Below are 20,911 nucleotides of genomic sequence, written 5' to 3'. Positions count from 1 at the left end.
AGCACCATGCCCCTAATAAAGGGACTCTGATCTCACCAAACCAGGTGGTCTGGCAATCGGTCTCGCAGGAAGCCACTTAGAGCCGCAGCTGTGGCTTGGGACATCACAAGGTGCTTGGGTGCAGAGTGACATGGAACCCACCAAGGCTGGGGGAGAATCCAAAATGGTAGCCTGGGGATAGACCAGGAATCTCTTGAGGTGGGGGTGGGAAGGGAGAGTAAAAGGTCAGACAAGGGTTAATTTCCTAGGGATGAGGTCAATCTAAGATCCAGAAGGGGTGGGCCGGGAGCGATGGCTCACGCCTATAATCCCAGCACTATGGGAGGCTGAGGGGGGCAGATTGCTTGAGCTCAGGAGTTGGAGACCAGCCCTGGCAACACAGTGAGACCCTGTCTACAGAAAATAAAAATAAAAAATAAAGAAAAAAGATCCGGGAGCGGGAGCGTGCAGCCAGCCTGGGCTGCTTCAAGATTTCATCTGTGTTTGGGTAGAGAGGGAGGGGAGGGGTGGGGCAGAGCACATTTCATCCTTTGTCTTGGGGTTGGCAGAGAGGAAGATGAAGGGCAGGATCCGGGTGGGGATGGCAGAGAGGGGACCAGTGTTGCAGTCCTCTCACTGAACCCAAGCAGCCTGGAAGCCAAGTGGCCTTGTTCTATAATCCCAGCACTTTAGGAGGCCAAGGCAGGCAGATCACTTGAGGTCAGGAGTTGGAGACCAGCCTGGCCAACATGGTGAAACCCCTTCTCTACTAAAAATACAAAAATTAGCTGGGTGTGGGGATGCACGCCTGTAGTCTCAACTACTCAGGAGGCTGAGGCAGGAGAATCACTTGAACTCGGGAGGCAGAGGTTGCACTGAGCTGAGATTGTGCCACTGCACTCCAGCCTGGGTGACAGGGCAAGACTCCATCTCAAAAAAAAAAACTCCTCCGCCCAGAAGGCCACAAAACTCCCCAGTGTTTGGTCTTTGCCACATCCCAAGAAACTGCACCCCCCTCTGCCTGTCCCCCCGTCCCCAGCCATTAAGCATCACTCGGGTCTTTGAATTGGTACAAAGTTTACTAGGTCATACGACACGGCTCACAAAGCGGTGGGAAATTCCAGTGATGGCATTGTTTGTTGGTTGGTTCCTTTTATCCAAATGGAGACAAGACACATTTCCGCAGGACTGTCCACCTCCCCCCACGAGACAAACAGAATGCAAGACTGTCACACGCGGCTAGGACTGGTTCCACGGACACACGATTTTGTGGCATTGACACACCACGATGCGATGCCAGGCCACAGTGGGTGCCAGGAGGGGAGGAAGCAGCTAATGCTATGCCCACACTCGCCTTCAGGCAGTGCCCCCGGGAGGGAGGCCCGGCAGTGTCTGCTGGTGATAATACATTTCACACAGGGAGGGGGAACCCCAAGGATGGGCTTTGGAGGCCCAGAAGGCCTGTCAGGTGGTGTGATTTTCCATCTCCAGCCAATAAATAACTCTGTTGGATGAATGCATACATTAGAAATGGATGCCACTACACTTCACACGTGGGGGACCAGGTCAAAATCAAACCATGCAAAGTGGCAGGGCAAGTGAGGAGGGATCCGGGTGAGAGATATTATCAACAGCACACGCTCTATTCTGTACCCTACAATATATACCATTAGTTGGATTTTGCTTTCCTCCCCGCGCCGGCAGGCCCTGGCGCCAGCGTCTCCCAGCGCAACTCGCTGGGAGGGTAGGGGGTCGCCGCTTGAAGAGAGAAGTGCTGGAGAGGCAGTAGGCTGGGGATCCCGGACTCTTAGCTGCTTGCCTCTGTGCGTAACCGCACGCCCACGGCCGTGATGAGGGCGGCCCCCTTGCCGCTGCCATCCTCAGACAGGAGGAAGGACACGTTACATTTTGGTGACAGTTCCTTCACCGTCTGGTGCATGATTCTGGAGAAGCTAAAAAGGACGAGAAAACAGAAGGTAGTTGGAGGAAGATGAGAGACGCTGGGCCTACCCGAAAACACCAAAGCACAGACAGCCCCCTGACTGGTGATGATTCGACTTAGGATTCTTCGACTTTGTGATGGGTTTATCAGGACATAAGCATCGGAAGTCAAAGAGACTCTGAACCCAACAACAAGGAGGGTGAACATGGTTGGGAGGCAGGCTGCTTAGAAGCAGCTGTGGCCAGTTGAGAATGGCTGGGAGGAAAGTGGGCCCACGGTCAATCCCATTGTCACAGTTTTCAGCAGGGAGGCCCAACTGCGAATCCAAACACAACTGCTCTGTATGGCTTATGAAGGCTAGGACATGAATAACACACACACCCACATCGGAGCTTGAGGCTCCAGGGGGACCTCAAAACCAAGGAGGATGTTAGGGGCTGACATGGATCATTAAGGCAGGTGCAAGCCAGCCAAGCACTGGATCGGTTCAGGAGGCTATGCAGGAATGAATATCACCCATCTCCAGCTGCAACCCTGAGACCCCCAGCGCCCCACCATCAACAGCCTGGCCCCCAAAGACAGGAATGCCTTCCAGTGAAGATAGTATCTGAACAAAGGCTGAATCTACATGCTTGTAAGTTGGGCTCAAAATGAAGGGCAGGGCCAGGCTGAAGATGCTTGTGGTGAGGGGCTCTCAAAAGTAGTCACTGTCCTTGGTTGGGGACCTATTAGGTGGGCGGAGTGCGGTGGCTCATGCCAGCACTTTGGGAGGCCAAGGTGGGAGGATCACTTGAGCCAAGGAGTTTGAGGACCTACTAGGTGCCCCATATTTTACAGCTCTAATTTCTAGTCCTGCCAGTGGCTGCCACCTCATGAGGAAGATGAGATTTTGCAGGGATTAAGCAATTGCACACAGATTCTAAGTGACGGTGCCAGGGTTAAATCCAAGAGTATGTGGCTCCAAAGCCTAGCTCTAAACCACTCCTGTGTGCTGCCTCAGCTGATGGCAAGGACAGCTATTAAGGGGGAGAGACAGAGGTGAGGATGGAGCAAGACAGATGGTTCCACCCCAAGCCACGGCCATGAGGTAAGCAGGTAATGTCTACACTGAGTCGGGTGAGGTTGCTTATAAGTAGGGTGACACTATGGCCTCATTTATCTGGGATGGTCCTAGTTTGCCTACAGTCCCAGAGTAATAATTATTAGCACTCTTGACTGGCAAGAGTACCCTAGTGTAGACAATAAATAAATAATATGGTCACCCTATTCATAAGGTGAGACATGCGGTGGATCACAATCACACAGCAAGTGCAATCACATGTCCTTCTCTGGCATGGGGGGTCAGATGCCTGACCAGAGGGAGGCCACTCCCTACCCCTCCCTGCCATGAAGCCCAGGGCCCAAACCGCTCCCGCCCTTCCAAGTCTTAGCAAACTGATTCAGCAGATGAACAAGAGAGTGGCTATCCTCCTTTCCTATTTTATTTTTTGAAATAGGGTCTCACTCTGTTGCCCAGGCTGGAGTACAGTGGCGTGATCTGGGCTCACTGCAACCTCCACCTCCCAGGCTCAAGCAATCCTCTTCCCTCAGCCTCCCGAGTAGCTGGGACTACAGGCATTCACCACCATCCCTGGCTAATTTTCAAAATTTTTTTGTACAGACAAGGTCTCACTATGTTGCCTAGGCTGGTCTCAAACTCCTGGACTGAAGCAGTCCTCCCACCTAGGCCTCCCAAAGTGCTGGATTACAGGTGTGAACCACTGCACCCAGCTCCTCCCCTTTCTTAATATCCTCTCCCCACTTACCCAACAGAGCCTCTGGCCTGGCTACAGCTCACCAGGCTTATGAGTGAGCCCACGCCCACCCTCACCTCCTCTCCCACTGCCTAGCCCCCACCTAAGGGGGACCAGGAGGAGTGGGGTGAGGGTCACATCATGCCACTGGTGTGAGCTGGCCAAGTGAAGCCACTTCTCTGTCTCCCTAAGGATCCCAGTCAAACCCTACAAACTGTTCATTACCTTGTCCTAGACAATCCCCAGCTCCTGAACGCACAGCCTTCAGCCTGGCTGGGCTCCCGCAGGGCATTTCCCCAGCGTAAACCACACCCTGATACCCCCTAACCCAAAGGGATCCCAGCAAGCTCTGCGCATCCCAACTGGAAGGCCCACTCACTGTGGATGAAGCTTGTAGAGTGTCCCGTCCACTCCCACAGTCACATTCAGACGGTCCAGTCCTCTGTTCTCGCGGATCTTATCCACAACCGCAGCCATGCCTGCGCCACACAGCTGTGCGGCCCTCCTGGACACCACCCCGCACACTGTCTTGACGAGGATACTGTCATCGCAGGTGCTATTCAGACCTAGCTGCTGGAGGATAGCCCGGACCTGGAGCAGTGCTAATCGGTCACTGTGGGGGACAAGAGCCAGAGGGCTGGATGAAGCAGGACCCACAAGAGCAGCCTGGAGACCACGTCCAAAGGACGCCCCCCGCCCCCAATCACTGTACTCATCCACAGACAGAGTCAAGGGCAAGTGTTACATGTTAAACTGTGGAGAATTTGGCAAATCTAGCAAAATAAAAATTGGAAAATCTAAACCATTCACTATCTCAACATCTAGGAAAATGCTATTAACATTTTAATATATTTCCTTCCAGTTTATTTTTCCTAGCTGGTATGCTTCTCATGATATGCAAAATGGGATTATCCTTGATATGTGATTTTCTTTCTCTTTCCTGTTTCATGCATTGAGCAATTTCCCACAGCCTTATCTGAGAACAGGATTGGAAACAGCTGCTGCAGTATTCCCTCTAGGGATGCACCATGATTTCTTTAGCCAGCTTGGAGAAATTCAAGTTAATTGCAATTTTCTGCTATTATAAAGAAACATTTTGATAAGGTTTGTTTATAAATCTTTGTGTGCAATTCTGATGTTTTTCCTTAGGATAAATTTCTGGGTCAACGAGCTTTTGCTACACATTGCCAGATGCCTTACAGAAAATTGTATCCATTTACTCTTCAGCAGAGTATTTGGCCACACTTATCCTCACTGGAAAAGAGCATTTTTTTACAACTTTTGACAGTTTTATAAGAAGGCATCACAAGACTGTAGTTCAATTTATATTATTCTCTATTAGTGAGGATGATCTCTTTTTTTTCCATTTGTTTTTTGGCCATATAAACTACTTCTTACGTCTCAAGACTTTTCTCCTGATATATTTGTCTTATTTATATTAAATTGAAAGAGACGATAACTGGGATGGTACAATGAAGACCAGCCAGGCTTCTTGGAGGACTTACCATGTAACATATATTTTACATACATTACCTTACTTACTCCTCAAACAACCAATGAATGTATGATTATTCCCATTTTAAAGATAAGGCAACTGAGGCTGGGAGAAATTGAGTATTGCAAAGCACACAGCCGGTGGAGAAGAGCAGGTGTAGACCAGACCTGCCAAAGCCCACCATGCCCTGCTAGGCGTCTTGTCATACACAGTACAAATGTCTTCCTCAGTTTACCGTTGCCTTTTAAGTTTGATTACTTTTTTTTTTTACTTACAGACACTATGTAGCTATATTTGGCCATTTTTCTTTATGATTTCTTTCTTTGCTATTATGCTTGAAAAGACTTTCCATACCACTTCATACCCATTAGGATGGCTATTCTCAACTCAGAAAATAACAAGTGTTGGCGAGGATGTGGAGAAACTAGAACTTTCACGGGCTGCTGGTGGGAATGTAAAATGTTACAGCCACTGTGGAAAACAACATGGTGGTTCCACAAACAACTGAACAGGGAATTACCATATGATCCCGCAAGTCCACTTGGGGTGCGTACACACACACACACAAACTGAAAGGAGATACTGGTCACCCGTGTTCACAGCAGCATTTGTCACAATATCCAAAAGGTGGAAGCAAGCCAAGTGTCCATGGATGGATGAATGAATAAACAAAATGCAGTGTGTGCATGCAATGGAATATCACTCAGCCTTAAAAATAAGGAAATTATGGCCGGGCGTGGTGGCTCATGCCTGTAATCCCAGCACTCTGGGAGGCCAAGGTGGGCAGATTACCTGAGGTCGGGAGTTTGAGACCACCCTGATCAACATGGGGAAACCCCATCTCTACTAAAAATACAAAATTAGCCGGGCGTGCATGGTGACGCACGCCTGTAATCCCAGCTACTCAGGAGGCTGAGGCAGGAGAATCGCTTGAACCCAGGAGGCAGAGGTTATGGCGAGCCAAGTTTGCACCATTGCACCCCAGCCTGGCCAACAAGAGTGAAACTCCGTCTCAAAAAATAAAAATAAAAAAATAAGGAAATTCTAACACATGCCACAATACGGATGAACCTTAAGACATTATGCTAAGTGAATTAAGCCAGTCACAAAGGACAAATGCTGTATGATTCTATTTATATGAAGTATCCAGAGTTGTCAAATCCATAGAGACAGAGAGTAGAATGGTGGTTGCTGGGGTGGGGGGAGGGAGGAATGTGGAGTTAGTGTTTGCTGCGTACAGAGTTTCAGCTGAGAAGATGAAAAGAGTTCCGGAAATGGATGGTGGTGATAGCTGTGCGACTATGTGAATGTACTTAATGTCACCGAACTGTATACTTAAAAACCATTTTGCCTGGGTAAGAGCAGTGTATAGGCTTGTTAGGTTTTTTTTTGTTTAAGGTTTAATATTTTTTTTCTTTTCTTTCTCTTTTTTTTTTTTTTTTGAGACAGAGTCTGTCTCTGTCGCCCAGGATGGAGTGCAGTGGTGCAACCTCAGCTCATTGCAACCTCCGCCACCGGGCTCAAGCCATCCTCCCACCTCAGCCTCCCAAATAGCTGGGACCACAGGAATGTGCCACCACGCCCGGCTAGTTTTTGCACTTTTTGTAGAAATGGGGTCTTGCCATGTTAACCAGGCTGGTCTCGAACACCTGAACTCAAGTGATTCACCTGCTTTGGCCTCCTAAAGTGTTGAGATTACAGGCATGAGCCACCGTGCCCAGCCTACACAGAGCCTACGTTAGGTTATTATGACCATTCTAAGAAGAACACAGTATTTGCACAATTGCTTTTGTTTTTTCTGACCCTTTTTTCCTCCTTCTCACACAGCGTGCCTTAGAAGACAGCAAAGGCCAGGAAGAAATGTACCCTGGACAGGAGAAAAGTAGAAAGAAGGTGGAACAACTTGCTGAGGGGCATCAGCTCCTGGGTGGCCTGGCACTGAACCCCAGGCTGCCTTTCAGATAAATCCAGGTGGGCCCTATGCACCCCCAATACAAGTATGTGTAGTGCATCTTTACCATCTGAAATGGAATCCATATGGCCCTCTTACACACATAATTTCAAATAAATCAATATAATGCCCCAACATAAAGGATGGATAAAAGGAAAGTAAGTAATTTACTTATTTATTGAGATGCAGTCTCGCTCTGTTGCCAGGCCAGGCTGGAGTGCAGTGGCGCGATCTCAGCTCACTGCAACCTCCACCTCCTGGGTTCAAGTGAGTCTCCTGCCTCAGCCTCCCAAGTAGCTGGGATTACAGGCATATGCCACCACACCCAGCTAATTTTTTGTATTTTTAGTAGAGATCGGGTTTCACCATGTTAGCCAGGATGGTCTCAAATCTCCTGACCTCATGATCCGCCTGCCTCGGCCTCCCAAAGTGCTGGGATTACAGGCATGAGCCACCACACCAGGCCAAGAAAAGTAATTTATAATAAAATTATAAGATTTCACTATGCAAATGCCCAGGGTCTGCTATTCCAGAGGAAAAAAAATCCTCAAAAATGGCCAAAATGTCCCCTAGGGTCCCTACCACCCCCATCACAATCCACCAGCCAGGCGACCTCTGAAGGGTGGGCGCTGGCAGGGAAGACACTGCCCACTCACCTCTCGATCTGAGAGAGAAACTTGGTCTCAAAGATGCCCCGGGTCTTCAGCGTCTCAGAGATCTGCCCTCGGAAGAGGAATCCCTTCTTGGTGAAGTCGATTAAGATGTTGCGGACGATTTCACCCAGGTACATACCACTGATCATCTTCTCATACCTGAGACAGGAGGAGGGGCCTGGGGTGTCTATGGGAAGTGGCCAGGAGAACTGTCACCCCTCGGTCTCACGGTCACTCCGCGTCTCCTACTGCCCCTCAAGCGCATCATCAACAGCCATGTGCCCAGCCCTGTGCTCTGCCGCAGAGGCAGAGTGGGAGGACCAGGAAGGACCAGGGAGTCCTCCACTCTCTCACATCAGAAACAAAACCACCAGCATTCATGTCTACCTGCTAGACTGGTCTCCCTCCTCAGCTGCCTGATAGCTCTCAGCCCCAAGGTCACTTCCCCGAGAGCCTGTCCTCCTCCTGATCCTGGGTTCTACCTGCCTGTTTCAGGTTCCCACACACCTCACCATTCTCCTCCTTCACAACACACCTGAGCTCACTGCCTCCCACCACCACTGCTGTAGTGACAGCCCCAAGAGGACAGGGCATGTGTGTCTTTTTCAGCTCTGAGTCCCCAGGGCACAGCACAGCATAGCATAGCACTGGGCCCTCAGGAAAGTGCCCAAAAACTATCTGCAGAATAAGCAAATGACTGGGCTAAGTCTTAAAGGAACAAGAAGACAAAAAAAAGGAAAGTTTCTAGATTTTTCTAAAGGTTTTGCAAATACCCAGAGTACTGGTCAAGCCCACAGCAGAGTGATGAGGCCACACAGGAGGGAGAATTCAGTGACCACAACACACTGGAGGTCAACCTGTTCTTGGGACTTCAAATTTCCTGCCCTCTCCATGCTCAAGGATCTCAAGAAATAACAAAGGATTGATTCATTTCCATGGCACATGCCCAAGCCCAGTGTCCCAAAGCTGAGAAGAGTCCCCTGGAATTTGGAACTCCAGGATTCCTCCTATTTCATGTGGTCCATGGAAGAACATGAAACAGAATGGAATCACAGAGGGGTGGGCCACCACTACGAAGTCCCACCCAGTCCTTCTCATTCCACCACAAAGACCACCCCAGTTTGGTGCTGACATGTCCTTAACCCCTTCCAACACTTGCTGATCCCCCCGCTTTTTAACCAAGGGGGTCTTACTATTATTGTTGTTATTATTGTTATTAATTTTTAGTAGAGACAGGGTCTCAACCCTATGTTGCCCAGGGTGGTCTCAACCTCCTGAGCTCAAGCAATCCTCCCACCTTGGCCTCCCAAAGTGCTGGGATTACTTTGATGATAGACTGCACTCAGCCCAAAGGGGGTCTTAGTTCAGGTCATTTGGTAGGCGACAGCATCAGCTAGACTTGAATAGCACGGTTCTTCACTATACTCATTTTTTAGTTACCATCTCTTTATGGTACTATTGGTTCTTCCTCTTTTTCCTCCTTCATTAAATGTCAGTAAAGACCTTAAAGGCCACTGGGCACGGTGGCTCACGCCTATAATCCCAGCACTTTGGGAGGCTGAGGCGGGCCAATCACCTGAGGTCAGGAGTTCGAGACCAGTCTGACCAACATGGTGAAACCTGGTCTCTACCAAAAATACAAAAACTAGCTGGGCGTGGTGCCGTGCACCTGTAATCCCAGCTACCTGGGAGGCTGAGGCAGGAGAATCACTTGAACCCAGGAGGTGGCAGTGAGCTGAGCTCGCACCACTGCACTCTAGCCTGGACAACAGGGTGAGACTCTGTCTCAAAAAAAAAAGAAAAGAAAAGAAAAGAAAAAGACTATAAGGGCTGGTTGCGGTGGCTCACACCTGTAATCCCAGCACTTTAGGAGACCTAGACAGGCGGATCACCTGAGGTCGGGAGTTCAAGACCAGCCTGACCAACATGGAGAAACCCCGTCTCTACTAAAAATACAAAATTAGCTGGGCATGGTTGTGTATGCCTGTAATCCCAGCTACTGGGGAGGCTGAGGCAGGAGAACTGCTTGAACCCGGGAGGTGGAGGTTGTGGTGAGCCGAGATCACGCCATTGCACTCCAGCCTGGGCAACAAGAGCAAAACTCCACCTCAAACAAAAAGAAAAACAAAAAACTGTAAGCTGATTCGAAGAAAAGCACTAAGTAAATAACAGCATGGGTGGTATTTAGAAAAGGCAAAAACCTTGAGGGGGCTAGGGAGTGACTCATGCTGGGTGCTGCTCCAGCCCTTCTTTCTGCTCCTAGGGAGACAACTTGGACCAACTCATCCTGGCCGTGGCAGAGGATGGCCTGATTCCTGGGGGCTTGAGACAAAGGGCAGACACTGCCATTTCAGACATGGTACCTGAGACCTGAGCTGCAAAGCTCCACAAGGCCACTAGGTGGTGCAGGAGGCTCACGGAGGAAAGGACGATTGCGACAGGGCCTCTGCTTCACACCAACCTGCCGCCCAGCCACCCTCACCCCACCCCCTTGTTATTCTGATGGGAAAGGAACACAGCAAGGGGACCGGAAGGCCAGAATCCTCCAGGCTAAAAAACAGTCACAGGCAGCCCCTAGACAGGCATCAACCCTGGGCCATCTTGTACCATGTTGGGGGTCTGTCCTCCCTGGTTCTCTGCTGTCCAAAAGACAAAGGTCAGGAGTGAGCCAGGGGGTCCAGTCTTGAAACCTCTGTTCAGACCTCTCCTCCTAGAAACTTCTTCCACTGCAAGTGGCAGAATGCAGCCAAGTGCTGCCCCCACCCTGACTGTGAGTGTCCTCTCCACCAGGCGGGGTTACCTTTGTTTCCCAGCATTTAGGGAATATTCGTCCACCAGTCTGTCGTAGTGTGTCCTGATATCATCCAGACACCCGTTGTCCCCAAAGGCCCCCCACTCCATGTTGATGCACATCTGCCCCTGGTCCCCCTCCACCATCTCCACGTTCTTCATCTCCTCCATGTAGCAGGCATTGCTGCCGGTCCCTGGAACACACGAGGGGGCAATGAGGAGCGGTGGCCTTGCATTTGGGGGTCTTGCAACTGGGCCTGGGGTCTGGGGCCTGAGGTTCCACAGGCAGGGGGCACGTTTTTTGTGATGAACAAAGTAATAGTTTTTCTTTCCCAATTTTGAAATGGAAAAATTTGAAATGTAAATGGAGAGTCTGAGCCACATCACCCAGAGGGCACCTGCTTAGCTGACTTTCAACCAAGAGCCAATGTGTTCACCCGTCCAGGCAGGGTTATGTTTATTTTAATAGAAGATGGCTTTATAGCAAAGAGATGGAGCATCAATGGTAGAGGTTTAGGCAACATTCAGACCAGAAGAAGAAATATATACGTACACACACAACATCATGCACACATGAATATACAATATATACATGCCTATATATATGTGTATAAAATATTAGGGGATTATCTTCTATCATACCATAGATATTCACTTATTTTCTTTTTCTTTTCTTCAAGACAGGGTCTGGCTCTGTCACCCAGGCTGGAGTGCAGCGGCGCAATCTTGGCTCACTGCAACCTCCGCCTCCAGGGCTCAAGTGATTTTCCCACCTCAGCCTTCCAAGTGGCTGGACTACAGGCACCACCATCATGCCTGGCTAATTTTTTAAAATTTTTAGTAGAGATAGGGTTTTGCCATGTTGCCTAGGTTCATCTCAAATTCCTGGGCTCGAGCTACCCTCTCGCCTCAGCCTCACAAAGTGCTGGGATTACAGGCGTGGGCACCACGCCCAGCCCCACTTATCTTTTCTCGACAAGGATGGTTGGTCGTGGACTATGCCTGCTCAATAAGCTTTCCTACATACCTTGGGATGAAGCCCACAGTTCAGGGCAGGACAGTGTCTTCAGCATTTCAAGGGGGGCTTTCAAAAGCAATGGTTTTTCATCATTTTTGTATCAGACCTTTGAAGATCAGAGGATTCTTCTGTGAAAAAGGCACCTTTCTCTGGGTGGACCCACACACCGCACACATGCAACCTGACATATGCTTGCCAGGGGCTCAGGAATCTCTGACTTCCATTCCTGAACTCCCTAGAGCAGAGTCACTCAAAATAGAAGGACCACCGACTGTTTGCTGTTCCAGCCCATGAGGAGCTAAGAAACTGAAGGCAAGCATCCTGCAACTTTCACAGCAATTTTAATTGCCATGATATCCAAGCTTGTGGTCACTGAACTTGCCTCACTGAATAGACTGGACATTTAAAAACCAATCAACTAACCCAGGAAGAGTGCTTCACACACATACTTTAATATGCACCTGGATCACCTGGGGACCCTAAGAAGCAGATCCAGATTCAAGAGGCTAGGGCCAGGACCTGAGAGCCTGCATCTCTAACAAGCTCCCAGGATGATGCTAATGATGCGCCCAGGAGCACCATCCACCCATCCAGGGTGGGATGTAGGTGAACTTTCATCGGGAGGGCACAAGACACACCCCCTGGCCAGACCAAAAGGGCTTTGGTAGTTTTCATCCCCTTTGAAGAAACTTAAGTAGAGTTCAAAGACTGTACAGTTGGATGATTTTTGTTCTTTGTTTTCTCAGCCCCCTTTTCACCCAAGGTTAAAACTGAGAGAAGAGGAGCTCCAGAAACGGAAGATGATGGGAGTGGGAGATGCAAAGAAAGCCAAAACATGGAAACCATACATCTTGCCTATGGGAGTCCTGAGCAAAGAGATCAATTGATGGAGGAAAGAAAAAGTAGCTATGAAGTAGCTATGAAATGTAGCTGGAGCCTGGTGCCAGGAAACGGGCGGGCCTGACCTCCCAGGAGGGAAGGTGGGGCCTGCAGGAGGAGGAGAGCTGCTGTGTCACTCTAGCTTTGCATTTCATACCCAAGCCCATTCATGGAAAGAAAGGGAGGGGCTGGGTGGAGAAAGCCAGGCCCCAAACAACCTTTTCACCAGCAGCTGCTCCCTAGGTTTTTTAAAATTTCAACAGAAGCGAAAAGTGGCTTAACAATGAATGAAAAGTTCTTCCTGGCACCTGGAAGGCAGCCTGCTGGGGCCTCTTCCCAAGCTCTAGACACTCAGCAACTGATCCAGTAGCAGGGGTGCCACTGCTCACTCACCAGGCAGAGTCCGCAGATGTTGGCTAAGAAACTCCCTGGGGTCTTTCCCAGCATCCCCTGACGCGAGGAGCAGGGCCAGCAGGACAAATGGTTTCCTCATAGCCCAAATCAATATGCTTCAGGAATTATGTGCTCGAGGCCCAGACCCCTAATGTGTTTTGGATTACAAGGCAACGAGCTGCAGAGACAACCCCTCTGCAACCCCCTTCAGTGGCTGGGACCATGCGCACACAGTGGCTGCTAAAGGCAAAATGGTGCCCAAGACCATCCTGCCCCTTTCCATGCTCTAAGTGTGGTCAGCATGGGAGGTGCTCTCTACTTCCTTTCCAGCCGCAGACTCCCTCCCCACCCCATCCCCCTGCAATACCTGACCAGAGCCCCTCCATACAAGGCCCATAGAGCTGCCATGTTTGCCAGGCCCGCTCCAGGTACCTGTCTCCACTCAAGCCAAGTGAGCCTTTTGGGTCCTCATTCCTGAAGAGTTCAGTTCTTGACAGTCTGATCATAAGCAATGTGTAGCATTATGGGTGTCTTAAGAAAGGCCCCCCCACCTCCCCCCGCCAGAGACTCTGCTGCCTTCGTCCAGCCCTGAACTCTGGAGCTGGTCAAGAAATGATACTGACAGATAAGACTACCCCATACAGAGGACCAAGCTGCTGGGCCAAGGCCCCACAAAACGGGGAAACCCCAGCCTTCCCTTCTGCAGGGAAAGAGACCTTCCAGGACACTCACCAACAATGAGTCCAACCTCACAGGTGGGCTCCTCATAAGCACAGGTCATCATGGTGCCCACTGTGTCGTTGACCACAGCCACCACGTCCAGGTCAAATTCCTTTGCAAAGAAAGGGACACAGCTTTAGGAATAGGATCACTATGCCTGGCTTGAATGCTGCCGGTTCTGTCTGTTGCACTGCAGTCAGAGAGCCACTGGTCATCATCTAAGATGGTTTTCTTACCAGCCTACAAAAAGGTAATGAATGTTCCTTCACAGACTAAACCCCTGCTATTAAGGATATATCTGAAACATGAGATCTAAGGAAGGGAAAGTATTCTACCCATTTTACAGATGATGATACTATTAGAGGAATCATAGAATAGGAGAGACAAGGGGCAATGGTCAAATAGCTTCTTCCCTTTGGAGTTTAAAGCATTATGGCCTTTCAGAGGGCAAAATGGAAAATATTAAACTCACTGCTCAGAATCTGTCCTTGAGAAATAGTCTGCAGGTGCACAAACGCACACATACAAGGATATTTACTGCATGACATGCAATAGTCAGAAAGAGGAAACAATCCAAGTGAAGATCAAATGGGCTATGTAAAAGGCAATTCAGACACATGCTGGAATCCTACGCAGCCAGGAAAAAGAATGAGGTTGATCTAAATGCAATGATGAGGAAGGATACCTGTTTCATATTAAATCAAAAAAGCAATTTGTCATGTTGTATATATGGTATAATTCCTATTTTTAAGTGAGTGTGTGTGTGTGTGTTGGCATATGCATGGAAAGCAAGCTAGAAGAATTAACACTAATAGTTGTGAAGCAGGCAAAAATAGATCAGCAGGTATCCTTTCTTATTTAAGAGACAGAGTCTTGCTCTGTCACCCAGGCTGGAGTGTACTACCGCAACCACGGCTCACTGCAGACTCAACCTCCTAAGCTCAAGTAATCCGCCCACCTCAGCCTCCTCAGTAGGTGGGACCACAGGTTGTGCACCACTATGACGGCTAATTTTTTATTTTTTAATTTCTTATAGAGACGGGGTCTTACTACGTTACCCAGGCTGGTCTCCAACTCCTGGGCTCAAGCGTTCCTCCTGCCTTGGCCTCCCAAAGTTCCTCCTGCCTTGGCTACAGGTGTGAGTCACTGCACCCAACCCGCAGCTATATTTTCAATGAAATATTGTAAGTTGTGTAGCATACCCTTCCAGATGCAACTCAGCCCTTTTTGTTTTTTTTCTATTTAACTGCAAAAGACAGCAGACAAATCAGCCCTCTTTCAGACACTCATTTCAGCTTCCCTGACAGCCTAGTGCCCAGGTATCTGTCTGCTCTTTAGACTGTTATTTGAAGTGTTCTGTTTTGTTTTGTTTTGTTTTTTAAAGTTCTTACTTTGCTCAGTGTAATGGGATTTGAAAAAAAGTCAAAAAAAAAATTTAAAACAGTCTCTTACTGACTCCCTCATTAATTAATGAGTTAAATTAAATCTTGGGAATTTTTCATTTTATATTTTTTCAATGTCCTCCAGCCAAAGACCACGAGAAACACACCTGTAATCTAACAAAGTTGGGCTTTACTGACTCATTGCAACACTGGAGAACACACCCCGGGGGCATCTTGGAAAGTGGCTTGGTGTGGTGGCCCATGCTTGGAATCCTAACACTTTGGGAGGGTGAGGCAGGAGGATCACTGGAGCCCAGGAGTTCAAGACCAGCATGGGTAACATAGCAAGACCCCACCTCTATTTAAAAACCCCAACACTTTGGAGGCCAAGGCGAGCAGATTGCTTGAGCCCAGGAGTTGGAGACCAGCCTGAGCAGCATGGCAAAACACCATCTTTACCAAAAACACAAAAATTAGCCAGATGTAGATGCCCACCTGTAATCCCAGCTACTAGGGAGGCTGAAGCGGGAGGATCGCTTGAGCCTGGGAGGCAGAGGTTGCAGTGAGCCAAGATTGCTCCACTGCACTCCAGCCTGGGTGACAGAGTAAGACCCTGTCTCAAAAAAGGAAACTTTAAAATTCTAAAAATTTTTTTTAAAAAAGTTTAATTTGGATCTGTGTCTGTGTTGTGGTTTGGGGGAAGGTTTAAAGAAGTGGGGCTTTGCTCTGGATTGGATATTGTCAGGAACCAGGGGCAATTCTATGGTTACAGACTGGTCTTATTCTTGTCTAAATCCATCATGGTCCCGGACGGAGTGGCTGTGTCTGATGTTTCTGCTCTGCAATTGTTTGTGGACTCTGTGAAATTGTTTGTGTTCCACAGGAGAACACCAAGGCCTAACTGAGAGTGCCAGGCTGTGCCCACCTGTCAGGGGCTGCTTCTCTCTTTTTCAATTTGTATGAGAGTCATGATTTGCCTTTCTAAAAAAAAAATAATAATAATCTTTTAACAACACAAACCTATGAGCCCTTATTTTATTGCGGGCAGTGGAGTCAGGAAATAGGGAGCTTTTCTTGGCCAGGTCACATACTTCTGTATTGTTAGAATTCTTTTTTATGTATTATTTATTTATTTATTTATTTATTTAGAGATGGAGTCTTGCTCTGTCGCCCAGGCTGTAGTGCAGTGGCGTGATCTCAGCTCACTGCAACCTCCTCCTGGGTTGAAGCGATTCTTCTGCCTCAGTCTCCCGAGTAGCTGGGACTACAGGTGCGCACCACCACGCCTGGCTAATTTGTGTAACTTTAGTAGAGACAGGGTTTCACCATATTGCCCGGGCTGGTCTAGAACTCCTGACCTCATGATCCACCCGCCTCGGCCTCCCAAAGTGCTGGGATTACAGGCGTGAGCCACCACGCCTGGCCTGAATTCTTTACAACAGGCAAATACACTTTTTAGAAGCCCCTAAAACAGTAAAGATTTTAAAAAACATTCTTTTAATAGTTACCTCTCTCCTTTTTATCGCATCCCTTAGTAAGGTGACTACATCGTGGCCCACGCAGTCTGTTGCCTTAAAACCCTTTGTCCACGTGATCAAGATTCCCTACAACATAAAAAGCACCAGGAGAGTCCTGTGTAATTAACCTGGAAGGGGAGAACACAAAATTCCAACCCTCCCTCCTGAGTCAACAACTGCTGAGGGCTTACAACATCGGAGACGGAGTTCAAACATCTGAGGACAAACCAATAAAATATGAATAGACCCTCCTCACCATCCTCATAGGGGTTTGAAATAATCCCACTTCACAGATGGAGCATGAGGCACATTAGGTAAATAGCAATGTCTAAGTTCACTCAGCAGACGGCAAAGACGGCACTCAATACTGGACAAGAGCCCAGATCACCCGATTCCAAGCCTGGTGCTGCCACTGGCATAACCAGCTGTACAGAAGAGTCTACTGACACTATAACTGAAGGATCCTAAGAGTTTAGTAATACTGTGTCTACCTAAAGTACATTTTAGCTTTCACTGGATTGAAGTTAAAACACTTCCTGGGGAAGAAAGTACACTGGGTGTGTGTTGACTATGATGAATCCAAGGTGAAGGTATAAGTGAAATGCTTTAAAAACAAACAAACAGATCTAACTCCTGAGCTCTAAAAGGGTTTCAGAAGAAAAAAGTCCCAAGTCAGCGATGTAACTGGATTAACTGGTTTACAGAGGTAGGTGACCCTACCTAACTCTCCTAGGGCTGCTCATTAAGCCTTAAACCCTGGCCTAAGACCCACCTCCAGAACTCCTGCCTGGTCACGTCTCCACCTGTGACACCCAGAGCTACCTACAGCTCTTCCAGCGTGACAGGCTGGGTCTTGCCTCCGTGACTCTGCACCATTGGTTCCTTCTGCCCAGAATCCACTCCCCAGCCCTGACAGCATGGAGCTGGAGCTGCTGGTGTTAGGGACTCGGCTCCCCCACTAGACTGTGGCCTTCCAAAGGACAGGAGCTGTAACCTTCAGCTCTGAGCCCAGCCAATCAGTAGTCAGCAGGTGCTCAAGCTCTGATCCTGGACCCTGATTCATCTCATATATTGAACAAACATTTATTATCTCCTCTGATTGGACACTGTGCTAGGGCGTGCAGGGATACAGGTCCTTGCTCACGGAGTCTACCACTAGCAGAAACAAAAGACACTAAGAACTAACTGTGTAAGAAGTGTTATAAGCAAGGCAACAATCAAATGAACAGGGGGCACAGAAGAGGATGAGGTTCTTTTTTTGCTTGGAGGACCAGAAGGTTTCCCAGAAAAGGTGACGCTTTCAAAGAGAAAAGAAGAGAGAAGAGTCTCAGTATGCCCTGCAGGCTGTGAAATAAAGCCTGGCTCAACCCACTGTGACTGTGACTGTCATCTAGGAATGACACTGAGGCTGGAGAAGGCCTCAAGGGCCAGCCCACCCAGGCCACAGGGGACTCAGTGCTGCCCGATCACTGAGCCCTAAGAACAGAGACTCACCGCGTCCAGACTCGTCTGCTGGCAGGGAAATGAGAACGTGAAGCCCAGAGGCATCCTGGGGCCTTTGATCCCCATGTAGTCCAAGAAGTCAGAGATGCAGGAGACAATGTGATCAAACAGCTGCAGGGGAAAAGAAAGGATCGCCCGTGCTCTCTGTGGTTTTAATTTTATCAGTGCACATGGACCAAAGTGTGTATACACACACACACGTAGGAAAACACACCCCACACACATGCAGAGTGAGCCTCCTTTTCCAGAATCTTCTCAGCCACCAGAGTGTCACAAGCCAGGCATGGCAAAAAGCATCTGGTGCTTCTGGGCCACAAGGACACAAATCCATGTGGGCACCCCGTGGCGGATTTTGGTCATCACGTGACTGCCGGTGCCACTGGCCGTGTGTGCAGTGCACATGCACTATGGTTTTGTAATCTCACCTCTTCCCCAGTGCCCTGCATGATTTCAATAGGAATGGCGTAGATCTTGTTGTGCATTTCCACCGTTCTCTTTTTCCCACTACGGATTTTCACCAGCAGCACACGGAAATTGGTTCCTCCAAGATCCAGGGCCAAGAAGTCACCATTCTCTGTTGCAGTCAAAAGCGTAAAGAATGTCAAAAACAGCTAAGTGCCTCTTGGCAGCCAGTAACCCCAAGACTCCAGACTTTCAAGGGGAGAACCCCATAGCAAACATAGAGGAGAAGCTGCAACTCCTCCCTTTAGGACACAGCACAGACTCAGAGGAAGAGTGGGCACCACATCTCTGACCACCACAGACTTGGAGCCACACTGGGAGGAGAGCATGTGAGTAAACCACCTGTCACAATACACAGACTTCACCAGGGCTGCAACAATGAAAATCTCCTACAAAAAATAATAATTTATGTCAAGGTGTGGGGTATTTGCAAAAACAGCTGCATCATTCCCTTCCCTGCATGTGCAAAATCCTTCTTTGCAACATGACTGCAGTTCCTCCCACTGAAACATGGAGTCAATTTCTCCTCCCCTGGGATCTAGCCCAGCCCTAGGATTGTTCAGGCCAACAGAGTGTGGCAGAGGCAAAGCTGAACCTATCCCCAGCCTGGGCTTCCAGGAGGCTTTGAAGTCTTCCCCTCTCCCTCGCAGCCCTTGCTGCCACCACTTGAACAGCCAGGTGGCCCACTGAAGGATGAGACACAGGGCCAGGGGCCCCTGCACCCCAGCTGACAGCCAACTGCTGGACATGTGGGGAAGGGCGTCTGAGATCTGCCTCCCAGCTGACTCAACAGCTGACTGCAGATGCAGGAATGAGGCCGGCAGAGGTCAGCCAATCCTGGCCCTGATGAGCAGAACTGTCCAACTGACCCACAGATGCATGAACAATAATAAAGCGTGGTTGTTTTAAGCCACTAAGTGTGAGGGTGGCTTATAATGTGGTATTAGGTAACTTACACATAGGACACATTCCTGTCACAAACATTCGTTACTCCAAGGACCCACCTGAAAAGCTCTTCAGATTCCCCATAATGATCAGCTCCAGTGAAAACTACCAAGGTTAGCATAAAGGGTTGGATTTTGTTCTACAATTTGCCTGAATGCGAAACTCCCCAGGCCCTGAATGCCTCATGCATACTCTATCAAGATTTAAGAAGGGTACACTGAGTGTTTATCCTTCTGCTGGCTTTCCTTGGCTTTGGGAAAACCTAATCAGTGCTGTGGGATTTGCCCAGCTTTTAAGAACACTTCTTTTTTATTCATTTAATTTTTTTTGAGACAGGGTCTTGCTATGTTGCCCAGACTGGTCTTGAACTCCTGGGCTCAAGCAGTCCTCCCACCTCAGCCTCTTAAGTAGCTGGATGACAGGCGTGTGTCACCTTGCCCAGCTAAGAGCACTGTTCTGAGCAGGGCTGTGGTTTTAGAGATAGCACTTGCCTGGGAGGTCTGACCAGGAAAATTAAACTGCCCTGAGTCACACACATGACAAATCAGTTAATAAAAATGGAAAACAGAGATGTGAGGGAGTTTCTAGCTCTGGCAAAATCGTGCATCACCAGTGTGAAGGCATCCACTGGCGAATCCAACCTCCCCCACTGCGGCTCAGTTCCTGGCAGGAGCAGGACAGGCATGTCAGCCCCCAGCAGGCCCTCACCGGTCCCGTCGGGAGTTCTCCGGACGAAGGAGGGCAGCATCTTAACCACGGCATTGTTGTGCGTCTGCTTCCTCAGCCCCAGCTCCATCTCGGCCCGCATCCTCTTCTTCACCTCCAGCAGCATGTCCTTGGTGAGGTGGAAATGAGCCAGGGTCTCCTCTATCTGCCGGTGCTGCTCGGCCAAGCGGTAGGCCACCGCCGTCACCATGGCAGCCCCCTTGCCGCTGCCACTCTCCGAGAGGAGGAAGCGCACATCGGAGTCTGGCACCAAGCGCCTTAGAGTCTTGTGGAAACGCCGGGAATACCTTATGGGGGCAGGGGGGACATTCCACAACAGCTGGACTGAGCATTTATTGGGGACCTCCGGCCACCCTTTCTTTCTCCACTCTTTAACTCTTTTTTCTTTTCCTTTTTTTTGAGACAGGGTCTTGCTCTGTCACCCAGGCTGGAGTGCAATGGCACAATCACAGCTCACTGCTGCCTCAACCTCCCAGGTTCAGGTGATCCTCCCACCTTAGCCTCCCGAGTAGCTGGGGCCACGCCCGGCTAACTTTTTTGTATTTTTAGTAGAGACAGGGTTTCGCCATGTTGCCCAGGCTGGTCTCAAACTTCTAGGTTCAAGCTATCCACCCGCCTCAGCTTCCCAAGTGCTGGGATTACAGGCATGGGCCACTGTGCCCAGCCTAATTCCATTTTCTGCACCTGCTTTTTTCATTACACAAATCATATACATCCACTGTAGAAAAGTTAGCAAATGCAGAGAGGTAAAAAGGAAAAATGA

At 49.1% G+C, this 20,911-nt stretch overlaps 1 protein-coding gene across 30 annotated transcripts in view, besides 2 other annotated features; it reads right to left on the bottom strand.

The window, feature by feature from the left end:
* The window catches only part of HK1 (hexokinase 1), a 131,883-nt gene continuing 112,011 nt past the window's right edge, over window positions 1,040–20,911 (bottom strand). For 23 of the 30 annotated variants that reach the window (XM_047425137.1, XM_047425136.1, XM_024447969.2 and 20 more), the window contains 9 exons: window positions 20,131–20,435; window positions 18,441–18,589; window positions 18,007–18,126; window positions 16,504–16,599; window positions 13,626–13,725; window positions 10,614–10,797; window positions 7,817–7,972; window positions 4,094–4,327; window positions 1,040–1,931 (listed from right to left, as the gene is read on the bottom strand). In XM_047425137.1, coding sequence (XP_047281093.1) covers window positions 1,787–1,931; window positions 4,094–4,327; window positions 7,817–7,972; window positions 10,614–10,797; window positions 13,626–13,725; window positions 16,504–16,599; window positions 18,007–18,126; window positions 18,441–18,589; window positions 20,131–20,435 — 1,489 coding nt within the window. In that variant the 3' untranslated portion in view covers window positions 1,040–1,786. The remainder of the gene's footprint in view (window positions 1,932–4,093; window positions 4,328–7,816; window positions 7,973–10,613; window positions 10,798–13,625; window positions 13,726–16,503; window positions 16,600–18,006; window positions 18,127–18,440; window positions 18,590–20,130; window positions 20,436–20,911) is intronic. The other 7 variants (NM_001441141.1, NM_001441139.1, NR_199805.1 and 4 more) reach the window with 7 other exon arrangements.
* Window positions 11,522–12,233: an enhancer, noted in NCBI's record as "H3K27ac hESC enhancer chr10:71150445-71151156 (GRCh37/hg19 assembly coordinates)". NCBI's record gives its function as "activates a minimal SCP1, AML or CMV promoter by ChIP-STARR-seq in primed H9 embryonic stem cells {active_cell/tissue: H9 hESC(primed)}" and the evidence as "EXISTENCE:reporter gene assay evidence [ECO:0000049][PMID:30033119]".
* Window positions 12,305–13,027: an enhancer, noted in NCBI's record as "H3K27ac-H3K4me1 hESC enhancer chr10:71149651-71150373 (GRCh37/hg19 assembly coordinates)". NCBI's record gives its function as "activates a minimal SCP1, AML or CMV promoter by ChIP-STARR-seq in primed H9 embryonic stem cells {active_cell/tissue: H9 hESC(primed)}" and the evidence as "EXISTENCE:reporter gene assay evidence [ECO:0000049][PMID:30033119]".

The sequence above is a fragment of the Homo sapiens genome, chromosome 10, assembly GCF_000001405.40.
Source record: "Homo sapiens chromosome 10, GRCh38.p14 Primary Assembly".
NCBI classification, from domain to species: Eukaryota; Metazoa; Chordata; class Mammalia; order Primates; family Hominidae; genus Homo; species Homo sapiens.
This window is presented reverse-complemented; position numbering and strand designations above follow the sequence as displayed.